Source organism: Homo sapiens, chromosome 12 (assembly GCF_000001405.40).
Source record: "Homo sapiens chromosome 12, GRCh38.p14 Primary Assembly".
NCBI lineage: Eukaryota > Metazoa > Chordata > Mammalia > Primates > Hominidae > Homo > Homo sapiens.
In genome coordinates this window covers 19,337,705-19,357,351 of record NC_000012.12, presented here as the reverse complement: position 1 = coordinate 19,357,351, position 19,647 = coordinate 19,337,705, and the positions used below count along the sequence as shown (strand labels likewise).

General features: G+C 41.0%; 1 protein-coding gene across 72 annotated transcripts in view; it reads right to left on the bottom strand.

Moving 5' to 3' along the window:
• PLEKHA5 (pleckstrin homology domain containing A5) overlaps positions 1-19,647 on the bottom strand; it is a 246,668-nt gene that overhangs the window by 19,049 nt on the left and 207,972 nt on the right. For 41 of the 72 annotated variants that reach the window (NR_169816.1, NR_169817.1, NM_001385929.1 and 38 more), the window contains 4 exons: positions 13,918-14,029; positions 11,464-11,510; positions 8,833-8,953; positions 3,350-3,468 (listed from right to left, as the gene is read on the bottom strand). Coding sequence is in view for 66 of the 72 variants with exons in the window: in NM_001385929.1 (NP_001372858.1) it covers positions 3,350-3,468; positions 8,833-8,953; positions 11,464-11,510; positions 13,918-14,029 (399 nt within the window). In the remaining 6 variants the exon portion in view is untranslated. Of the gene's footprint in view, positions 1-3,349; positions 3,469-8,832; positions 8,954-10,169; positions 10,359-11,463; positions 11,511-13,917; positions 14,030-19,647 lie in introns of all 72 variants that reach the window. The other 31 variants (NR_169820.1, NR_169819.1, NM_001256470.2 and 28 more) reach the window with 5 other exon arrangements.

Genomic DNA, 19,647 nt, shown 5'->3' with positions numbered 1-19,647 from the left:
AATTGCTTGAACCCAGGAGGCAGAGGTTGTAGTGAACTGAGATTGTGCCAACCTGGGCAATGAGTGAGAGTCTGTCTCAAAAAAAAAAAAAAAAAAAGAATATAAAGAATATGGCAGCTCTGGAGCAAGCCAGTCCCATGACCCTGAAATAGAAAATTGCATAAAACTTGACCCTGAAAGAGAAAACTGAATAAAACTCAAATGAGGAGAAAAGCAGGGGCACAGTGTCTAAATATTAGAGATTTCTTTTATTTTGATGAAAACGTAATGTTTTAAGTTATACATTTACCGTGAAAAGACTAATAAAACAAACACCTCTATTTTCTTTCTCATCAGTAATAAAACTACGAAAACACTTATTTTCTATAAATCAGTCATATTTGAAAATGCTTAGGCCGGGCGCGGTGGCTCACACCTGTAATCCCAACACTTTGGAAGGCCGAGGCAGGCAGATCACGAGGTCAGGAGTTAGAGACCAGCCTGGCCAACATGGTGAAACCCTGTGTCTACTAAAAATACAGAAATTAGCTGGGCATGATGGCGGGCGCCTGTAGGCCCAGCTACTCGGGAGGCCGAGGCAGGAGAATCATTTGAACCCGGGAGGCAGAGGTTGCAATGAGCTGAGATCACGCCATTGCACCTGGGCGACAGGGAGAGACTCTGTCTCAAAAAAAAAAAAAAAAAAAAAAGAAAAACAACTTCCTCTTCTTCCACCCAGTCAATGTGAAGATGATGAGGATGAAGATCTTTATGATGAACTATTTCCACTTAATAAGTGGTAAAATATATTTTCCCTTATAATTTTAATTAATTTTATTTATTTATGTATTTATTTTTTGAGACAGGCTGTCACTCTGCTGCCTAGGCTGGGGTGCAGTGGAGCAATCATGGCTCACCTCGACCTCCTGGGCTCAAGTGATCCACCCTATCTCAGCTTCTTGAGTAGGTGAGACCATAGGCACAGGCCACCATGCCTGGCTAATTTTTTTTGGTAATTTTTGTAGAGATGGGGTCTCCTTATGTTGCTCAGGCTAGTCTTGAATTCCTGAGCTCAAGCAATCCTCCAGACCTGGCCTCCCAAAGTGCTGGAATTATAGGTATGAGCTACTATGCCTGGCCTAAACCTGCTAGTATCTTTCTGCTTGATTTTATATTTGTGTGTGTGTTGTTTTTTTTTGTTTTTTTTTGAGACAGAGTCTCACTCTGTTGCCCAGGCTGGAGTGCAGTGGTACAATCTCGACTCACTGCGACCTCCGCCTCCTGGGTTCAAGTAATTCTTATGCCTCAGCCTCCCGAGTAGCTGAGACTACAGGTGCCTGCCACCATTCCCGGCTAATTTTTGGATTTTTAGTTGAGACAGCGTTTCACCATGTTGGCCAGGCTGGTCTCGAACTCCTGACTTCAAATGATCTGCCTGCCAGCCTTGGCCTCTCAAAGTGCTGGGATGACAGGTGTAAGCTACAGCACCTGGCCTCTGCTTGATTTTAACATGCACTTTTTGTAGTCCTTTTTCTGTAGACTTGTTATTTTAGCTTTACCATTTCCAATGAAATCTTCCAATCTGTAAAAAATGCCTAACTCTGAACAAACAATAGTATTACAGAATCATGACCATTAATGTTAATGCTGATATATTATCTTTATTCCATGATAATTATTTCTATAGATCTTTATACTTTTGTACTAATTGAAAACATTACATTTCCTATGTATAAATGCAGCTGAGTTTTTTTTGGCATGTACTTTGTAGTTGTACTTTAATATCTTTGAAGAACAGCTAGCCTGGGCAACAGAGAGAGACCCCGTCACTACTAATAAAAAAGAAAAAAAAATTTAGCCGAGTATGGTGGTACGTGCTTATTGTCCCAGCTAGCCAGGAGGCTGGGGTGAGAGGATCCCTTGAGTCCACGAGTTGGAGGCTGCAGTGAGCTATGATCATGCCACTGCACTTCAGCCCAGGCAATAGAGTGAAACCCTATCCATTGAAAAAAAAAAAAAAAAAAAAAAGACTAGCCATATATCTTATATGTAGTACCTTTCTTGTCTTATAGCCTAAAATTATCTCATACCAAATAGGTAGAGTATTGATAAAGATAAGAAGTAGAAGCATTTTTGCAGCCCAAATTTCTAGAGAATACTTGAAGAAAGGGAGTTAAGTGTTCTCAGCATTTTCCAAAGAACAAAACTCGACTGGTTTGGAGTTTGAATTAAATGAATCTCAGATGAAAATGTAAAATATAGGATTTATTTTCTAGTTCCAACTCACATTTCTCAGAGTAACCAGAGGACTGGCAAACTCTAAAGCTATTAATACCATAGCTAAAAGGCCCTGCAACCTCATGATAGCTAGAAAATCCACTAACTTTTGGGAGGCCACAGGACACATCTATACCTCTCATCGAGAAAATTCTTAAGAGGCATCAAGGAGTGTAGTACAGTGATTAGAGAATAGATTCTACAAATTGTGGACTACGACTATGACCCCATGTCTAGGCTGATCAAAAGAAACTTAAATTAGGTGTTGACTAGGTCTGTCCTCTGACGTGCTAATTCTTTAAACAAAATTTTAAGGCCGGGCGCGGTGGCTCACGCCTGTAATCCCAGCAGTTTGGGAGGCCGAGGCGGGCGGATCACAAGGTCAGGAGATTGAGACCATCCTGGCTAACATGGTGAAACCCTGTCTCTAATAAAAATACAAAAAAATTTAGCCAGGCGTGGTGGTGGGCGCCTGTAGTCCCAGCTACTTGGGAGGCTGAGGCAGGAGGATGGTGTGAACCCGGGAGGCAGAGTTTGCAGTGAGCTGAAATCACGCCACTGCACTCCAGCCCAGGCGAGAGAGCGAGACTCCATCTCAAAAAAAAAAAAACAATTTTTTTTTTTTAAGAATAACTAAGATCGGGCTGGGGGGCGGTGGCTCACACCTGTAATCCCAGCACTTTGGGAGGCCGAGGTGGGCAGATCACGAGGTCAGGAGATCGAGACCATCCTGGCTAACACGGTGAAACCCCGTCTCTACTAAAAATACAAAAAAAATTAGCCGGGCGTGGTGGCGGGCGCCTGTAGTCCCAGCTACTCCGGAGGCTAAGGCAGGAGAATGGCGTGAACCCGGGAGGCGGAGCTTGCAGTGAGCCGAGATCGCGCCACAGCACTCCAGCCTGGGCGACAGAGCGAGACTCCGTCTCAAAAAAAAAAAAAAAAAAAAAAAAAAGAATAAAGAATAACTAAGATTACTAAGTTTTTCTTTGAGTATGCAAAAATAATTTTGATAAGACACTGAAAATGAAAACATGTAAGAAAGCAATAAATAGATGTGAGAATCTTCCTAGAAGATTAATTTCCAGTTAAATACCGTTCTTAGATCCATCATCTTCTTAGTTTTCCTCAAGGTTACATAGGAAGCTATTGTCGAAGATTCGGGTGTTGGTGATTTTGCTCTTGGAGGGACTACTCCAACAGGAAAGTGGGAACCTAAAAATTAAAACAGCAGTAAGTTTTACAAAACATCTTTTATACAGCATTGCTTTCTTTTAGCTTACTTAATTTCTGACACTTTTTAAAATCAGAAAGCAAATTTATTTAAAAAGAGTCAGGCTGGCCTGGCGCGGTGGCTCACGCCTGTAATCCCAGCACTTTGGGAGGCCAAGGCAGGCGGATGACCTGAGGTCAGGAGTTTGAGACCAGCCTGACCAACATGGAGAAACCCCGTCTCCACTAAAAATACAAAATTAGATGGGCGTGGTGGCGCATGCCTGTAATCCCAACTACTCGGGAGGCTGAGGCAGGAGAATCACTTGAACCCAGCAGTCAGAGGTTGCAGTAAACCGAGATCGCACCATTGCACCAGCGTGGGCAACAAAGAACGAAACTCTGTCTAAAAATAAAAAAAAAAGAGTCAGGCTGGGCGTGGTGACTCACGCCTGTAATCCCAGCACTTTGGGAGGCTGAGGCGGGTGAATCACCTGAACTCAGGAGTTCAAGACCAGCTTAGCCAACATGGTGAAACCCTATCTCTACTATAAAAAATACAAAAATTAGCCAGGCATGGTGTCAGGTGTCTATAATTCCAGCAACTCAGGAAGCTGAGGCAGGAGAATCGCTTGAACTCAGGAGGTGCAGGTTGCAGTGAGCTGAGATAGCGCCACGGCACTCCAGCCTGGGTGACAGAGAAGACTCTGTCTCAAAAATAAATAAAAAAATAAATAAATAAAAATAAAAGAGTCAAAGTCAGTCAATGATACCACCAGATAAATTTAGGGTTATATTTAAAAACAAAATTCTGTTCATGCCTGTAATCCTAGCACTTTGGGAGGCTGAGGCGGGATGATCACTTGAGCTCAGGATTTTCAGACCAGCCTGGGTAATATAGTGAGACCCTGTCTCCAAAAAAATTGAAAAAAAAAAAAAAGCTGGGTGTGGTGGTGTACACCTATAGTCCCAGCTACTCAGGAGGCTGAGGTGAGAGGATCACTGCAGAGGTTACAGTGAGTTGAGATCGCACCACTGCACTCCAGCCTGGGCAACAGAGCAAGTAAGAACTTGTCTCCTTAAAACAAAAAAAAAGAAAAAAGAGAAGAAAAAATTGTACAGATTAACTGATGACATTTTTAAGAACATTAATTATAAAATGCCCTCTTTTGGCCAGGTGCTGTGGCTCATTGCCTATAATCCTAGCACTTTGGGAGGCTGAGATGGGAGGATCACTTGAGGCCAGGAGTTTGAGACCAGCCTGCTCAACACAGACCCATCTCTATTTAAAAAAAAAAAAAAAAAAAAAGCCTTCTTTGTCATACTGATACATCTCTATCATCATCGTTAACAAGTTAGTTCAACCTAAATGTTCTTAATTTCTGCTTGGCTTTAAAAAAATCATACAATATTGCCTCAAAGTGTCCACTAACAATGTTAACAATAGCTAACTATAGGTACTCATTTTCACTTTATCTTCTGTATTTTTCTTTTTTTTTTTTGAGATGGAGTCTTGCTGTGTCACCCAGGCTGAAGTACAATGGCACGATCTCGGCTCACTGCAACCTCTGCCTCCTGGGCTCAAGCGATCCTCCCACCTCAGCCTCCTGAGTAGGTGGGACTACAGGCATGTGCTACCACGCCTGGCTAATTTATTTTTTTGTAGAGACAGACAGGATCTTGCCACGTTGTCCAGGCTGGTCTTGAACTCTTGGGCTCAAACCATCCTCCTGCCTCAGCTTCCCAAAGTGCTGGGATTACAAGCGCGTGCCACTAGGCCCAGCCAGTCTTTTTTTTTTTTTTTTTTTTTGAGATGGAGTTTCGCTCTTGTTGCCCAGGCTGGAGTACAATGGCGTGATCTCGGCTCACTGTAATCTCTGCTTCCTGCATTCAAGCGATTCTCCTGCCTCAGCCTCCTGAGTAACTGGGATTACAGGCAAACTATGCCACCATGCCTAGCTAATTTTGTATTTTTAGTAGAGACAGGGTTTCGCCATGTTGGTCAGGCTGGTCTGGAACTCCTGACCTCAGGTGATCTGCCTGTCTCGGCCTCCCAAAATGCTGAGATTACAGGTGTGAGCCACTGCGCCCTGCCTTGGCCAGTCTTTTTAAGTGAAGCATTCAGTCCAATTATATTTGTTGTAATTGCCAATGTATTTAGATTTATTTCTAACAATGTATTTTTTTGCTTTGCATTTTCTCCAGCTTCTTTTCTTTTTTGGATTATCTTTCTCTCCTTCCAGAGTCCTGCTGTGTTGTTCAGGCTGAAGTGTAAGTGGCACGATCACAGCTCTCTGCAGTCTCAACAATTTCTTTTATCTTAAACCCTAGCATGCATACTTAAACTTATGAAAGTCTGAAGTTAGTCAAAATCATTACCATGATTCAGAACAAAACAAAGATGTTAAAGCGTATTAATATCAATAAACTTCCTCCTCATTTATATGCTATTTTTGTCAAATAGTTGTTGTATATGCTTAAAAAAAAGCTAAATACATTTTTTACTTTATAAAATAGAGATGAGGTCTGGTTATGTTGCCCAGGCTGGTCTTGAACTCCTGGACTCAAGCAATCCATCTGCTTCGGCCTCCCAAAGTGCTGAGATTACAGGAATGAGCCATCATTCCCAGCCCATTTAAAGTCTTTGTTGTGGCCAGGTGTGGTGGCTCACGCCTGTAATCCCAACACTCTGGGAGGCTGAGGCAGGCAGATTGCTTGAGCCTAGAAGTTTGAGACAAGCCTGGGCAACATGGTGAAACCCTGTCTCTACAATAAATACAAAAATTAGCCAGGTGTGGTGGCACACGTGTGTAGTCTCAGCTACTTGGCAGGCAGAGGAGGAAGGAGGCTACAGTGAGCCATGATCTCACCACTGTACTCCAGCCTGGGCCGATGGTGAGATCCTGTCTCAAAAAAAAAAAAAAAAAAAAAGACTTTGAATAAGGAGACAGGATTAGGATGAGAAAGAAAAGGTGTATAAATATTAAATTTTCAAGATGCCAGTATTTTTAAATTTAAAAAACGACATTAGATAACCTAGAAAAATATTCCAACAATGAAAAAAGCTATGTGAACATTACTACCACTTAGGTGTTTTCTTGTTTGTTTGCTTTTGTGTTTTTTTTTGAGATGGAGTCACTGTCTAGGCTGGAGTGCAGTGGCACGATCTTGGCTCACTGTAACCTCTGCCTCCCAGTTCAAGTGATTCTCCTGCCTCTGCCTCCCGAGTAGCTGGAATTACAGGTGCCCGCCACCACACCTGGCTAATTTTTGTATTTTTAGTAGAGATGGGGCTTCGCCATGTTGGCCAGGCTGGTCTTGAACTCCTGACCTTGTGATCCGCCCGCCTCTGCCTTCCAAAATGCTGGGATTATAGATAGGCGTGAGCCACCAAGCCTGGCCTCACTTTGATGTTTTTCAAACTTTACTTAGTGATCCTTTAGCAGATTACAAAAATCAGTCCAGTGGGTTATGATAAGCACTTATTTTTCTAAAAAGTTTTACATTTTGTCACACTTACATTATCTCTGCATAAATACATACACATTCTTTCTGGCGAATCCTTTAAAAGTGGCAGATGCTTTTGTCCTAAGTGTTTCAGAATTCACATACTACATTCTACTACACAACCACAATATCACAATCACACTGTTAGCTAATATCTAGAACATGTTTAAATTTCCATTAATTGTGCTACTTTAGAGATTCTTCTTTTAAACCATGGTCCAATCAAGTTTCAAACAGTGCGATATATCTATCTGTTATTTTTTTGTGTGTGACGGAGTCTCACTCTGTCACCCAGACTGGAGTGCAGTGGCACGATCTTGGCTCACTGCAACCTCTGACTCCTGGGTTCAAGTGATTCTCCTGTCTCAGTCTCCTGAGTAGCTGGGACTACAGGTGTGTGCTACCATGCATGGCTAATTTTTTGTATTTTTAGTAGAGACAGGGTTTCACCATGTTAGCCAGGATGGTCTCCACCTCCTGACCTTGCGATCTGCCCGCCTCCACCTCCCAAAGTGCTGGGATTACAGGAGTGAGCCACCGTGCCCAGCCAAACTTTTGTATTTTTAGTAGAGATGGGGTTTCACCATATTGGCCAGGCTGGTAGAGTTTCCATTTCTTGGGAGAGTTTTTTTTTTTTTTCTGTTTCTGGTTGTTGTTGTTGTTGCTGTTGTTGTTGATCTCCTGACCTCAGGTGATCCGCCCACCTCGGCCTCCTGAAGTGCTGGGATTACAGGCGTTAGCCACCACCCCTGGCCTATCTATCTTTTTAATCTAGGATAGTTCTCTCTCTACTCTTTTCTTTACGCAATTGCCTTCTAGAAAAATGACCAGCATTAAGAAAAAAATCAGAGTATACATTACAGAAATATTATTTTAGAATTTACTTTGTTGATATTGTGTGAAAATTTGTTTCAGCCATTAATACCTTATGCATAATTTTAAACACACACACAGAAAAGACCCTGTCCAGGTGTGGTGGCACATGCTTGTAATCCCAACACCTTGGGAGGCTGAGGTGGAAGGAATGCTTGATCCCCAGAGTTCAAGACCAGCTTAGGCAACACGGCAAGACCTTGTCTCTACAAATACTTAAAAAATTAGTTGGGTATGGTGGTGTGTGCCTGTAGTCCCAGCTACTTGGAAGGCTGAAGTGAGAGGATCACCGAGTCTGGGAGGTCGAGGCTACAGTGAGCCATGTTTGCTCCAGTACAGCAGCTCAGGTGACAGAGTGAGACCTCACACACAACAACACATCACAAACAACAACAACAACAACAACAACAACAACAAAAACAACCACCAGAAACAGAAAAAAAAAAAAAGAAAACTCTCCCAGGAAATGGGAAACTTTAAAGTTTGACATAAACTTATTTCTTAGTAAAACCTAATCTGATGTGATGTCTTTTATTTTTATTTATGAGACGAAGTCTTGCTCTGTTGCCCAGGCTGGAGTGCAGTGGTGCGATCTCGGCTCACTGCAGCCTGCACCTCCTGGGTTCCAGTGATTCTCCTGCCTCAGCCTCCCGGGTAACTGGGATTCAGGCACGTGCCACCATGCCCAGCTAATGTCTTTTATTTTTAGCATTTATTTATGCCACTTGGAATGAATATTGTAGAAATAGTGTTAAAAAAAGGGTGCTGCCTCATACCTAGCTGAGATGACATATATCATTTATGGGCCATTTTATCTTTTAATATCTGAAAATTTCTTAATTTAGAAACTCATCAGAGTCCAAAGGTTTCAGATAAAGGGTTGGACTCATATATGAGTCAACATGTAAATGGAATTTACTACTATTTTGGCAGTAAATTGTCTTCAAAAACAAAAACCAAGAGGTAAAACATATTACAAATGCTGACCTTTAACAACTGAAGTTTCTATCTCTGAAACAGGTTCTGATTTTTCTTCTCCATTAGATTCATCAACTTCTGCCACTGTTGTTAACTCTGGTTCACTCTTGTAGAGTCTATAATCTGGACCCTTGAAAGGAAGACATGTAATTACCCTAAAAAACTGCTAAAAGTTTCTTTTAAAATGTTTACTGCTAAAGACACAAATCAAACTCTAAACATTAGTAGCCCTAGTGAGCCATCTGGGATATAACACAAATAATACCTATGTCACAATTACGTGGAAAGAAGAAATTTGAGAAATTTTTAAGTGGCAAAACTTCGTTTTAATATTAAGAATATTTCTGGCCGGGTGCAGTGGCTCACACCTGTAATCTCAGCACTTTGGGAGGCCAAGGTGGGTGTATCACCTGAGGCCAGGAGTTTGAGACCAGCCCAGCCAACATGGTGAAACCCTGTCTCTACTAAAAATACAAAAATTAGCTGGGCATGGTGGTGTGCGCCTATAATCCCAGCCATTCAGAAGGCTGAGGCAGGAGAATCACTTGAACCTGGGAGGCGGAGCTTGCAGTGAGCTGAGATTGCTCTACTGCACTCCAGCCTGGGAAAGAGTGAGACCCTGTCTCAAAAAAAAAAAAAAAAAAAAGAATATTTCTGTTCCTCTTAGGAACAAAGTCACATTTTTATGATGGAATAATTGAGGGCTAAAAATAACTATATTAATTCAATAAATTTTCATTCACAAGGTAGTCTAAGTGAGGCCCATCCCAGCACTAAAATTCCTGTCACAGACATTTTGTTGTTCTCAAATTAGCTCAATTCTAATTTCCTTTTTCTCTTTGCTTATTATATCCTACATTATTTGCTTAACCCTAAACGTATTTCCCATTTTCAGGGGTGACATCTCTCCTTAGCAACATCCACATCTTTGAGTAGTTTTCCTAGACCAAAATGTCCACATCCCAGCCCCTTTACCATCCCTAGTAACGGTCTTTTTCTTTCTCCCTTCTTTCTGATCTGAAGGTATAATCTTGCCTCCAATACCCTAAAATGGTATATCTAAAATACGGCTGCTTCATCATGGGAAAAGTTACCACTTTATGAAAATATGAAAAATGCTATGAAATTATAAAATATTAAAATTATAAAAATATTAAAAATGAGAATAGCAAAACCAAAACAGGAAAGACACAAATGATAAAGTCATATATAAACTAAAAACTGCTGGCCAAAAATGAGGTTATAAAGGTTATAATAAAAAAAAAGTTTGAGTGTAAAATAAATTAATTTTCAAAAATGAGAGGACATGTAGGATTGATTATTCTGTGGCTATTCCAGCCACTTACACAGTGAGATCCATTTCTTGGATATCCTTGAACTTGATACATCTTCTTTTCTTCAGGCAGATGAACTGGGCCCCTGCTATAACAGAGCAAGGAGCTGCTATCACTGGGCAGAGGGGGGATTATGGGAGGCTGCTCTGTAAAGTCATAGGACCGAGGAAGTGGAGGACGAGGTGGGACTACTTCCTCTTCCTAAAGATTGTAGAACAGTCACCTTATTTAGATAAGCAGATTGAATTAAGCATATCTAAATTCTTTGCAATGGTATATTAACTTAAATTTACTTTAAGATACTAAAAGGGACACTGCCAAGCCAAAAGTCTAATAATGAAAAGTAAAATCAAAAATTTTTTATCATAGCCAATAATTGGAATTTAACATATAATTACATCTGATTCTTTCCTGTAACATATAGGTTAGCTTCACACTGAAACTCAACATTGAAAGAGATTACTATTTAAAACTAATTACTGGGTTTCATTTTAAAACTAGAAGGAAAGAACTGATTTTAAAATCCTATTCTTATATTTTCACAATTTATCTTATTTATTTATTTGGTAGAGATGGGGTCTCGCTATAGTGCAGTGATTTGATCATACATAGCTCACTGCACCTTTGAACTCCTGGGCTCAAGGGATCCTCCTGGCTCAGCCTCCCGAGTAGCTGGGACCACAGGCACACCATGCCCGTCTAATTTTTCAATGTTTTCTAGAGATGGGGGTCTTGCTATGTTTACCAGGCTGGTCTCAAACTCCTGGGCTCAAGACATCCTCCTGCCTTGGCCTCCTAAAGTGCTGGGATTACAGGCATGAGCCACTGCACCTGGCCCCCCAATTTTTAAGAGAGGAAAAAAAAAAGTTACCTCTTTGGTTTTTATACGAAATTCAAAATAATAGATTCTTTTGGTTAGGTTGACAGTATCTCTTTGTAGTTGTAATTTCTTTATGCTACGCATGACATACAACCAACTTATCTATCGATCATCCTATAAATTTTACATAGTATAAGAAACAATGATAAGTATTCAAACATTACTTAGATTAGAAAAAGTATGACAACGTTAAAATTCTAACAGATAAAAAGCAGAGATTCCATTTTTTTGCATTAAAAAAGGGAAGAAAAATCACATATTAGAAGCACCAAATTACTGATCCAATAAAATTTCAAGACTAAAACAATATCTGTTCAATATATTTAAAAAATATTTTTGTTATTAAGATTAGAGAAGACAATTACTTCTAATTCATCTCTTAAGCATTAAAAGTAATTTATAATTAGAAAAACAATCCAAACTTACCTCATTTTTGTACTTAACTGTTGAGAAAGGCTTTGATCCTATCATACCTGGGAATATTAGAAAACGTAACTATATTAAACATATCTTTCTAATACTATAAAAAAAGAACAATTTCTTTTGTTTTTTTGAAATGAAGTCTTGCTGTTTGCCCAAGCTGGAGTGTAGTGGCGTGATCTCAGCTCACTGCAACCTCCGCCTCCTGGGTTCAAGCAATTCTTGTGCCTCAGCCTCTCGTAGCTGGGACTACAGGCGTGCGCCACCACGCCCAACTGATTTTTTTTATTTTTAGTAGAGATGGGGTTTCACCGTGTTGGTCAGGCTGGTCTTGAACTCCTAACCTCAAGTGATCCACCTGCCTCGGCCTCCCAAAGTGCTGGGATTACAGGCGTGAGCCATGGCGTCCAGCCAAAAAAAGAACAATTTCATGTATTTTTTTTTAAATTTATTTTTATTTTTATTTATTTTTATTTTTTATTTTTATTTTTTTTTGAGACAGAGTTTCGCTCTGTCGCCCAGGCTGGAGTGCAGTGGCAAGATCTCGGCTCACTGCAACCTCTGCGTCCCAGGTTCAAGCAATTCTTCTGCCTCAGCCTCCCGAGCAGCTGGGACTATAGGTGCACGCCACCATGCATGGCTAATTTTTGTATTTTTAGTAGAGATGGGGTCTCAACAAGTTGGCCAGCCTGGTCTCGAACTCCTGACCTCAGGTGATCTGCCCGCCTTGGCCTCCCAAAGTGCTCGGATTACAGGCATGAGCCACTGCGCCCGGCTTATTTTTATTTCTTTATTGTTTTTCACTCTGTTGCCCAGGTTGGAGTGCAGTGGCGTGATCTCTGCCTCCCGGGTTCAAGAGATTCTCTTGCCTCAGACTTCCAAGTAGCTGGGACCACAGGTGCGTACCACCACACCTGGCCAATTTTTGTACTTTTTTTTTTTTTTTTCAGTAGAGCCGGGGTTTTGTCATGTTGGCCAGGTTGGTCTTGAACTCCTGACCTCAAGTGATCCGCCTGCCTCGGCCTCCCAAAGTGCTGGGATTACAGGCGTGAGCAACCACGCCTGGCCGATTTCACATATTTTAAATGAAGTCTTCAGTTTCTAATCATTCACTTATTGTTTTCAGAATTGGAAAGCAATTACATTAAAAAGGCAACAAATATTTAAACAAGAGTATGGGGAAATGGGTTTTCTCAAACATTACTGGTATTAACATAATGTGAAATAATCCTTCAGGAGGGCATTTTGGCCGCAGTTATCCAAATGGAAAACATGTGCTTATTTCTCACCTTTTAAAATCCATTAAGTACTAACATATGTGTTTAGTTGTATGTATTAATAATGTTCACTATGGCATGGCTTATGACAGCATTCATAAAAAACTCTGGAAACAACATACATTATCCATCAATATGGAAATGGATAAATATATTACAGTTCCCTTATACAATGGATTCTTACACTGCATTGTTATGGAGAAAAAAGCAAATTATTGAAAAATAGATATAGGATGATCCCAGTTCTTGTTGTGGGGATAAAACTTCTAAAGTGTAAACATTGTGGATATTTATAATTATACACACAAGACAATAATTATTTTTGTTTAGGTATGGTTGACAGAGCTTTCACTTTTTACTTTATAAACCTGTGCTCTGATTCAATGTTAAGAGTGCCTGTTCAGAAAAATGCATTAAAATAACAAAAGAAACTCAATTATATATGTCATTCCATTTAGACATTCAGTCATGTGCCACATACCAATGTTTTGGTCAGCAACAGACTACATATACGACAGTGGTCCCATAAGATTATAATGCAGCTGAGAAAATTTTTTTTTTTTTTTTTGGGACAGTTTCCCTCTGCTGCCCATGCTGGAGCACACTGGCATGATCTTGGCTCACTGCAACCTCCACCTCCCGGGTTCAAGCGATTCTCCTGTCTAAGCTTCCTGAGTATTTGGGACTACAGGCATGCGCCACCATGCCTGGCTTTTTTTGTATTTTTAGTAGAGACAGGGTTTCACCACGTTGGCCAAGCTGGTCTTGAACTCCTGACCTCAGGTGATCTGCCCACCTCAGCCTCCCAAAATGCTGGGATTACAGGTGTGAGCCACTGTGCCCAGCCAGAGCTGAGAAATATCTATTGCCTAGTTGTTGCCCTCATGTCAGAGTGTAACACATTACCTTTTCTATGTTTAGATATACAAATAACATTGTGTTACAACTGTCTACAGTATTCAGTACAGTCACATGCTGTGCAGGTTTGCAACCTGGGAGCAATAAGCTATATACCACATAGCCTAGGTGTGTAGTAGGCCATACAACTAGATTTGTTTAAGTACACTCTGATTGTACAACACAATCACCTAACAATGCATTTCTCAGAATGTAATCTGTCACCAAGCGACACATGACTGTAATACTGTGGTCAGTCACAAAATAAAATGCAAAGCTAATTTACCTATTTCTGTAGTACCTCTTTGCTGCTTATGTTTACTCAGCCCTTCCATGACATCCTGAATTCGCCAAAGTTCTTTCTGAATCTGTGCACGCTGAATTCCTGCTGATTCCGTCTATCAGTAAAAATGGATAGACCATATATAAGAAAAAAAATCATTCACTGAAGTTAAATGATTATATATTAATTATATAAATTACATCTAAAAATGCAAATTGCAGTGAATTAAGTGTTACGAATATTTAATATGATTGATGTGACTCTCCCAATTTTGCAAGTCCAGTGGCAAATATAAAAGACTGAGCAGAGCAAGAAAAATATTTAATTTTCATACTTAAATATACTATTTTAAATCTTTCCAATAAGCTTTGTCTTACATTATTTATGATACCAGGAAGGCATATTGATTAAAAGGGACCCAAAATGGAAAATACAAACAGAGAGAATGAAAACAGAGCAGAAACAAACCCCAAAAGAAAAAATAATTTCTGGGAGGGGGAGATGTGGCAGGGCATTGGGGAATGGGTGAGAAATGGAAGGTGTACTAACTTCCTAGGTTCTAGAACATAAAAACAACAACAAAGGTACAACTAACAAAATATATCAAGATGAATTTTGACTGACAGAGTTTAAATGTATTTTTTTATTTTTATTTTTTTTTGAGACAGAGTCTTGCTCTGTCGCCCAGGCTGGAGTGCAGTGGCAAGCTCTCAGTTCACTGCAGCCTCTGCCTCCTGGGCGCAAGTGATTCTGCTGCCTCAGCTTCCTCAGTAGTGGGGATTACGGCACGTGCTATGCCATAATTTTTGTATTTTGTGCAACGACATAATCTCAGCTCACTGCAAACTCTACCTCCCAGGTTCAAGCAATTGCCCTGCCTCAGCCTCCCGAGTAGCTAGGATTACAGGCATGTGCCACCACACCCGGCTAATTTTGTATTTTTAGTAGAGATGGGGTTTCACCATGTTGGCCAGGCTGGTCTTGAACTCCTGACCTCAGGTGATCCGCTCTCCTCAGCCTCCCAAAGTGCTGGGATTACAGGTGTGAGCCACCGCGCCCGGCCAATTTTCTTACTTCTAAAATTCCACATCATGCCCTCAGGTTAAATACACTAACTGAAACCAAAATAAGATTACATTGGTTTTCTCTGAGATTCTATTAGAAATCTATGACTCTTATTCATAAATAGGGTAATAATAACACCATTCTGGATAATACTAAACACTATTCTAGGAATGTAACTTTATTTTTAAAAATAGGCAATGACATACAAAAACTGTCACATTGCCTAGAACAATACTTTCTTTGGCTGAGTATCAGTTATTAATGACTATAGATATTAGAATATAATCAGTATTGCATCAATATGCTAAAAAAGTCCTCTAATGGGTAGAAATATGTTTTCAGCCAGGCACAGTGGCTCACACCTATAATCCCAGCACTTTGGGAGGCTGAAGTGGGTGGATTGCTTAAGCTCAGGAGTTCAAGACCTGCCTGGGCAACACAGAAAAACCCCATCTCTACCAAAAATACAAAAACTTAGCTGGGCGGGGTGGTGTATGTCTGTGGTCCCAGCTACTTGGGAGGCTGAGGTGAGAGGATCACTTGAGCCTGGGGGAAGAGGTTGCAGTGAGCCAAGATCGTGCCACTGTCCTCCAGCCTAGGTGACAGAGTGAGACTCTGTCACAGGGGGAAAAAAAAAGCAATATGTTTTCAAAGTCTTCCAAGCACTTGGGAGTTGATCAAAAGATTAAAAAAAGAAAAAGAAAAAACTCAAGAAAAGTCTATAAGCCTAAAGACTATGAATTAATGCTGCTCCAAAAAGGCACTACATAACCTAAGTTATCTAGTTTTCCAAGCTACAGCCTGGAAGCATCAAAAAGTAAAAAAAAAGAAAGTACCCATGCAAGAGCCAAACACAACGACAGCCCAGAGATGTAAATACTGACACAGAGGATGGGAAGGTCACTATAAATAACAGATCCTTGCACATCTATATACAACATGTATTACTTTCATAAAATTTAAAAGATATATATATGTATAGACACATTTTTGCCAATCTGAAACGGTATACAATGCAAATCTAATTTTTATTTTATTTGCATTTCTCTGGTTACTACTAACTTTGAACTATTTTTCTTTTCCTTTCATTTTTTTTGAGGCTGAGTCTCACTCGGCCACCCAGGCTGGAGTGCAGCGATGTGATCTTGGCTCACTGTGACCTCTGCCTCTTGGGTTCAAGCAATCCTCCTGCCTCAGCCTCCCAAATAGCTGGAATTACAGGTGTGTGACACCATGCCCAGCTCTCTCTTTTTTTGTATTTTAGTAGAGATGAGGTTTCGCCATGTTGGCCAGGCTGGTCTTGAACTCCTGACCCTCAAGTGATCTGTCTGACTTGGCCTCCCAAAGTGCTGGGATTACAGGCATACGCCACTGTGCCCAGCCAACTTTGAACTATTTTTCTTTTCTTTCTTTTTTTTTTTTTTTTTATTGATCATTCTTGGGTGTTTCTCGCAGAGGGGGATTTGGCAGGGTCACAGGACAATAGTGGAGGGAAGGTCAGCAGATAAGTGAACAAAGGTCTCTGGTTTTCCTAGGCAGAGGACCCTGCGGCCTTCCGCAGTGTTTGAGTCCCTGGGTACTTGAGATTAGGGAGTGGTGATGACTCTTAACGAGCATGCTGCCTTCAAGCATCTGTTTAACAAAGCACATCTTGCACCACCCTTAATCCATTCAACCCTGAGTGGACACAGCACATGTTTCAGAGAGCACAGGGTTGGGGGTAAGGTCACAGATCAACAGGATCCCAAGGCAGAAGAATTTTTCTTAGTACAGAACAAAATGAAAAGTCTCCCATGTCTACCTCTTTCTACACAGACACGGCAACCATCCGATTTCTCAATCTTTTCCCCACCTTTCCCCCCTTTCTATTCCACAAAACCGCCATTGTCATCATGGCCCGTTCTCAATGAGCTGTTGAGTACACCTCCCAGACGGGGTGGTGGCCGGGCAGAGGCGCCCCTCACCTCCCGGACGGGGCGGCTGGCCGGGCGGGGGGCTGACCTCCCCGCCTCCCTCCTGGACGGGGCGGCTGGCCGGGCAGAGGGGCTCCTCTCTTCCCAGTAACTTTGAACTATTTTTCAAACACGTGTTAGTAATTTGAGTTTTCCTATGATTAGTTACTCATGTTTTTTGTATGTTTTTCTAAAGGATTATTTCTCCAAATCAAAAAGAAAAACTTCCTTGCAAATCTAAATAGTTATCCCTTGTTGAATTTTTGAGGTAAAACATACATCCTCCCAGTAGGTCATCTTTTTACTCTGTCTATGTTGCCTTCATTGAGGGTAAATCTTTAACTTTGATAAAGCCAAATGCTGTTCAACAATTCTCTCTCTTTCTTTCTCTCTCTGCTTTGTGGATATTCATGGCCTGCTGCTAAACTCTCTATTCTGTTCCATTGGTCTATTTTTTCCTGTACCATGTTTAACACTATAGTTTTACATTATGTTTCCTTGTTTATTTATTTAACAAACACTTATATAGCGTGTTTTATATGCCTGGTTTTATTCTACATGCTGCAAAATATAAACATATTTATCCTCATAATAACCTAGCAGGAGTAGGTATTATTTTATTTTATAGTTGTGGAAACTGAGACCCAGAGTTGTTATGTAACTGGTCTAAGGCTGTATATGCAATGTTACCATTCATAGAGTATGACTTCTCATTCTTTTATTTTTTTTTGAAATGTCTTAACTACTTGTGGTTTTTATTATACCTTAAAAATATTAGAGCCATTTCAGAAATTTCTTTAGAAAATTCTACTGGAAATTTGGTTGGAATAAAATTGCATTTACAGGAAGAATTTTCATTGTGATAATGTTAAATCAGACCATCCATGAATATGGTATACCAATTACACCTCTCCATTAATTCAGGTCTTCTCTTATATCCTGTAATAAGGTTACTAAATTTTCATAATAAATATATTTTTTGGCAGGTTAAATCTGGGATTGGCAAATTTCTGTGGCCTGCAGCCTCTTTTGGTATGGCCTGTGAGTTAAGAACAAATTTTACTATTTTTAAGAAGTTATAGCCGGGCACGGTGGCTCATGCCTGTAATCCTAGCACTCTGGGAGGCCAAGGCGGGCAGATCACCTGAGGTCAGGTGTTCAAGACCAGCCTGGCTAACATGGTGAAACCTTGTCTCTACTAAAAATACAAAAATTAGCCAGGTATGGTGGCACATGCCTGTAATCCCAGCTACTAGGAAGGCTGAGGCAGGAGAATCACTTCAACATGAGAGGCGGAGGTTGCAGTGAGCAGAGATCACACCACTGCACACCAGCCTGGGCAACAAGAGTGAAACTCTGTCTCAAAAAAAAAAAAGAGAAGTTATAAAATAACAAAAAACATTAAATAATATGTGACAGATCTGGCCTTTTACAGAAAGTTTGCTGACCTCTAGTAATATCTTAGGTATTTATAGCTATTTTTCTAGTGTATTTAGCATCTCATTTTTGTAGCTGATTTCTTATTTTTTTTTTTTTTTGAGATGGACTTTTGCCCATCACTCAGGCTGGAGTGCAATGGTGTGATCTCCGATCACTGCAACCTCCGCCTCCCAGGTTGAAGTGATTCTCCTGCCACAGCCTCCCGAGTAGCTGGGATTACAGGTGCCTGTAGCTGATTATTGTAGCTGATTACTGACAGTGTAACTTCAGTGTCCAATACAGAAGTCCCAGCCACATGTGGCCATTTAAATTTAGACAAACTGGGCTTGGTGACTCATGCCTGTAATCTCAGCACTTTGTGTTTTTTTTTTTTGAGACAGAGTCTCCCTTTGTCGCCCAGGCTGGCATACAGTTGCGTGATCTCCACTCCACTGCAACCTCTGCCTCCCAGGCTCATGCGATTCTCCTGCCTCAGCCTTCCAAGTAGCTGGGACCACAAGTGCCCAGCTAATTTTTGTATTTTTGTAGAGGTGGGGTTTCACTGCGTTGGCCAGGCTGGTCTCAAACTTCTGGCCTCAAGTGATCCTCCCACCACGGCCTCCCAAAGTGCTGGGATTACAGGCATGAGCCAATGTGTCCAGCCGATCCCAGAACTTTGGAAGGCTGAGGTGGGAGGATCACTTGGGCCCAGGAGTTCAAGGTTTCATCTAGGATCATGCTACTGCACTCCAGCCTGGGTGACAGAACAAAACCCTGATTCAATAAACAAGTAAATACATTTAGATAGTTAACATGAATACAACTAAAAGTTCAGTTTTAATTGTGTAGTCACAATAGTCACATTTCATATGCCCAACAACTACATGTGGCCAGTACTATGCTGGACAGCACAGATAGAGGGCAGCTGAATTTCTGATTCAACCTTACTAATCTTTTTTTTTTTTTTTTTGAGATGGAGCTTCGCCCTTGTTGCCCAGGGTGGAGTACAATGGAGTGGTCTTGGCTCCCTGCAACCTCCACCTCCCGGGTTCAAGCGATTCTCCTGCCTCAGCCTCTGGAGTAGCTGGGATTACAGGTGCCTGCCACCAAGCTCGGCTAATTTTGTATTTTTAGTAGAGATGGGCTTTCACAATCTTGGCCAGGCTGGTCTTGAGCTCCTGACCTCGTGATCCTGGCTAATTTTGTATTTTTTAGTACAGATGGGGTTTCCCCATGTTGGTCAGGCTGGTTGGTCTTGAACTTAACTAATTTTTCATTCATTGTATTGATCTGTCTG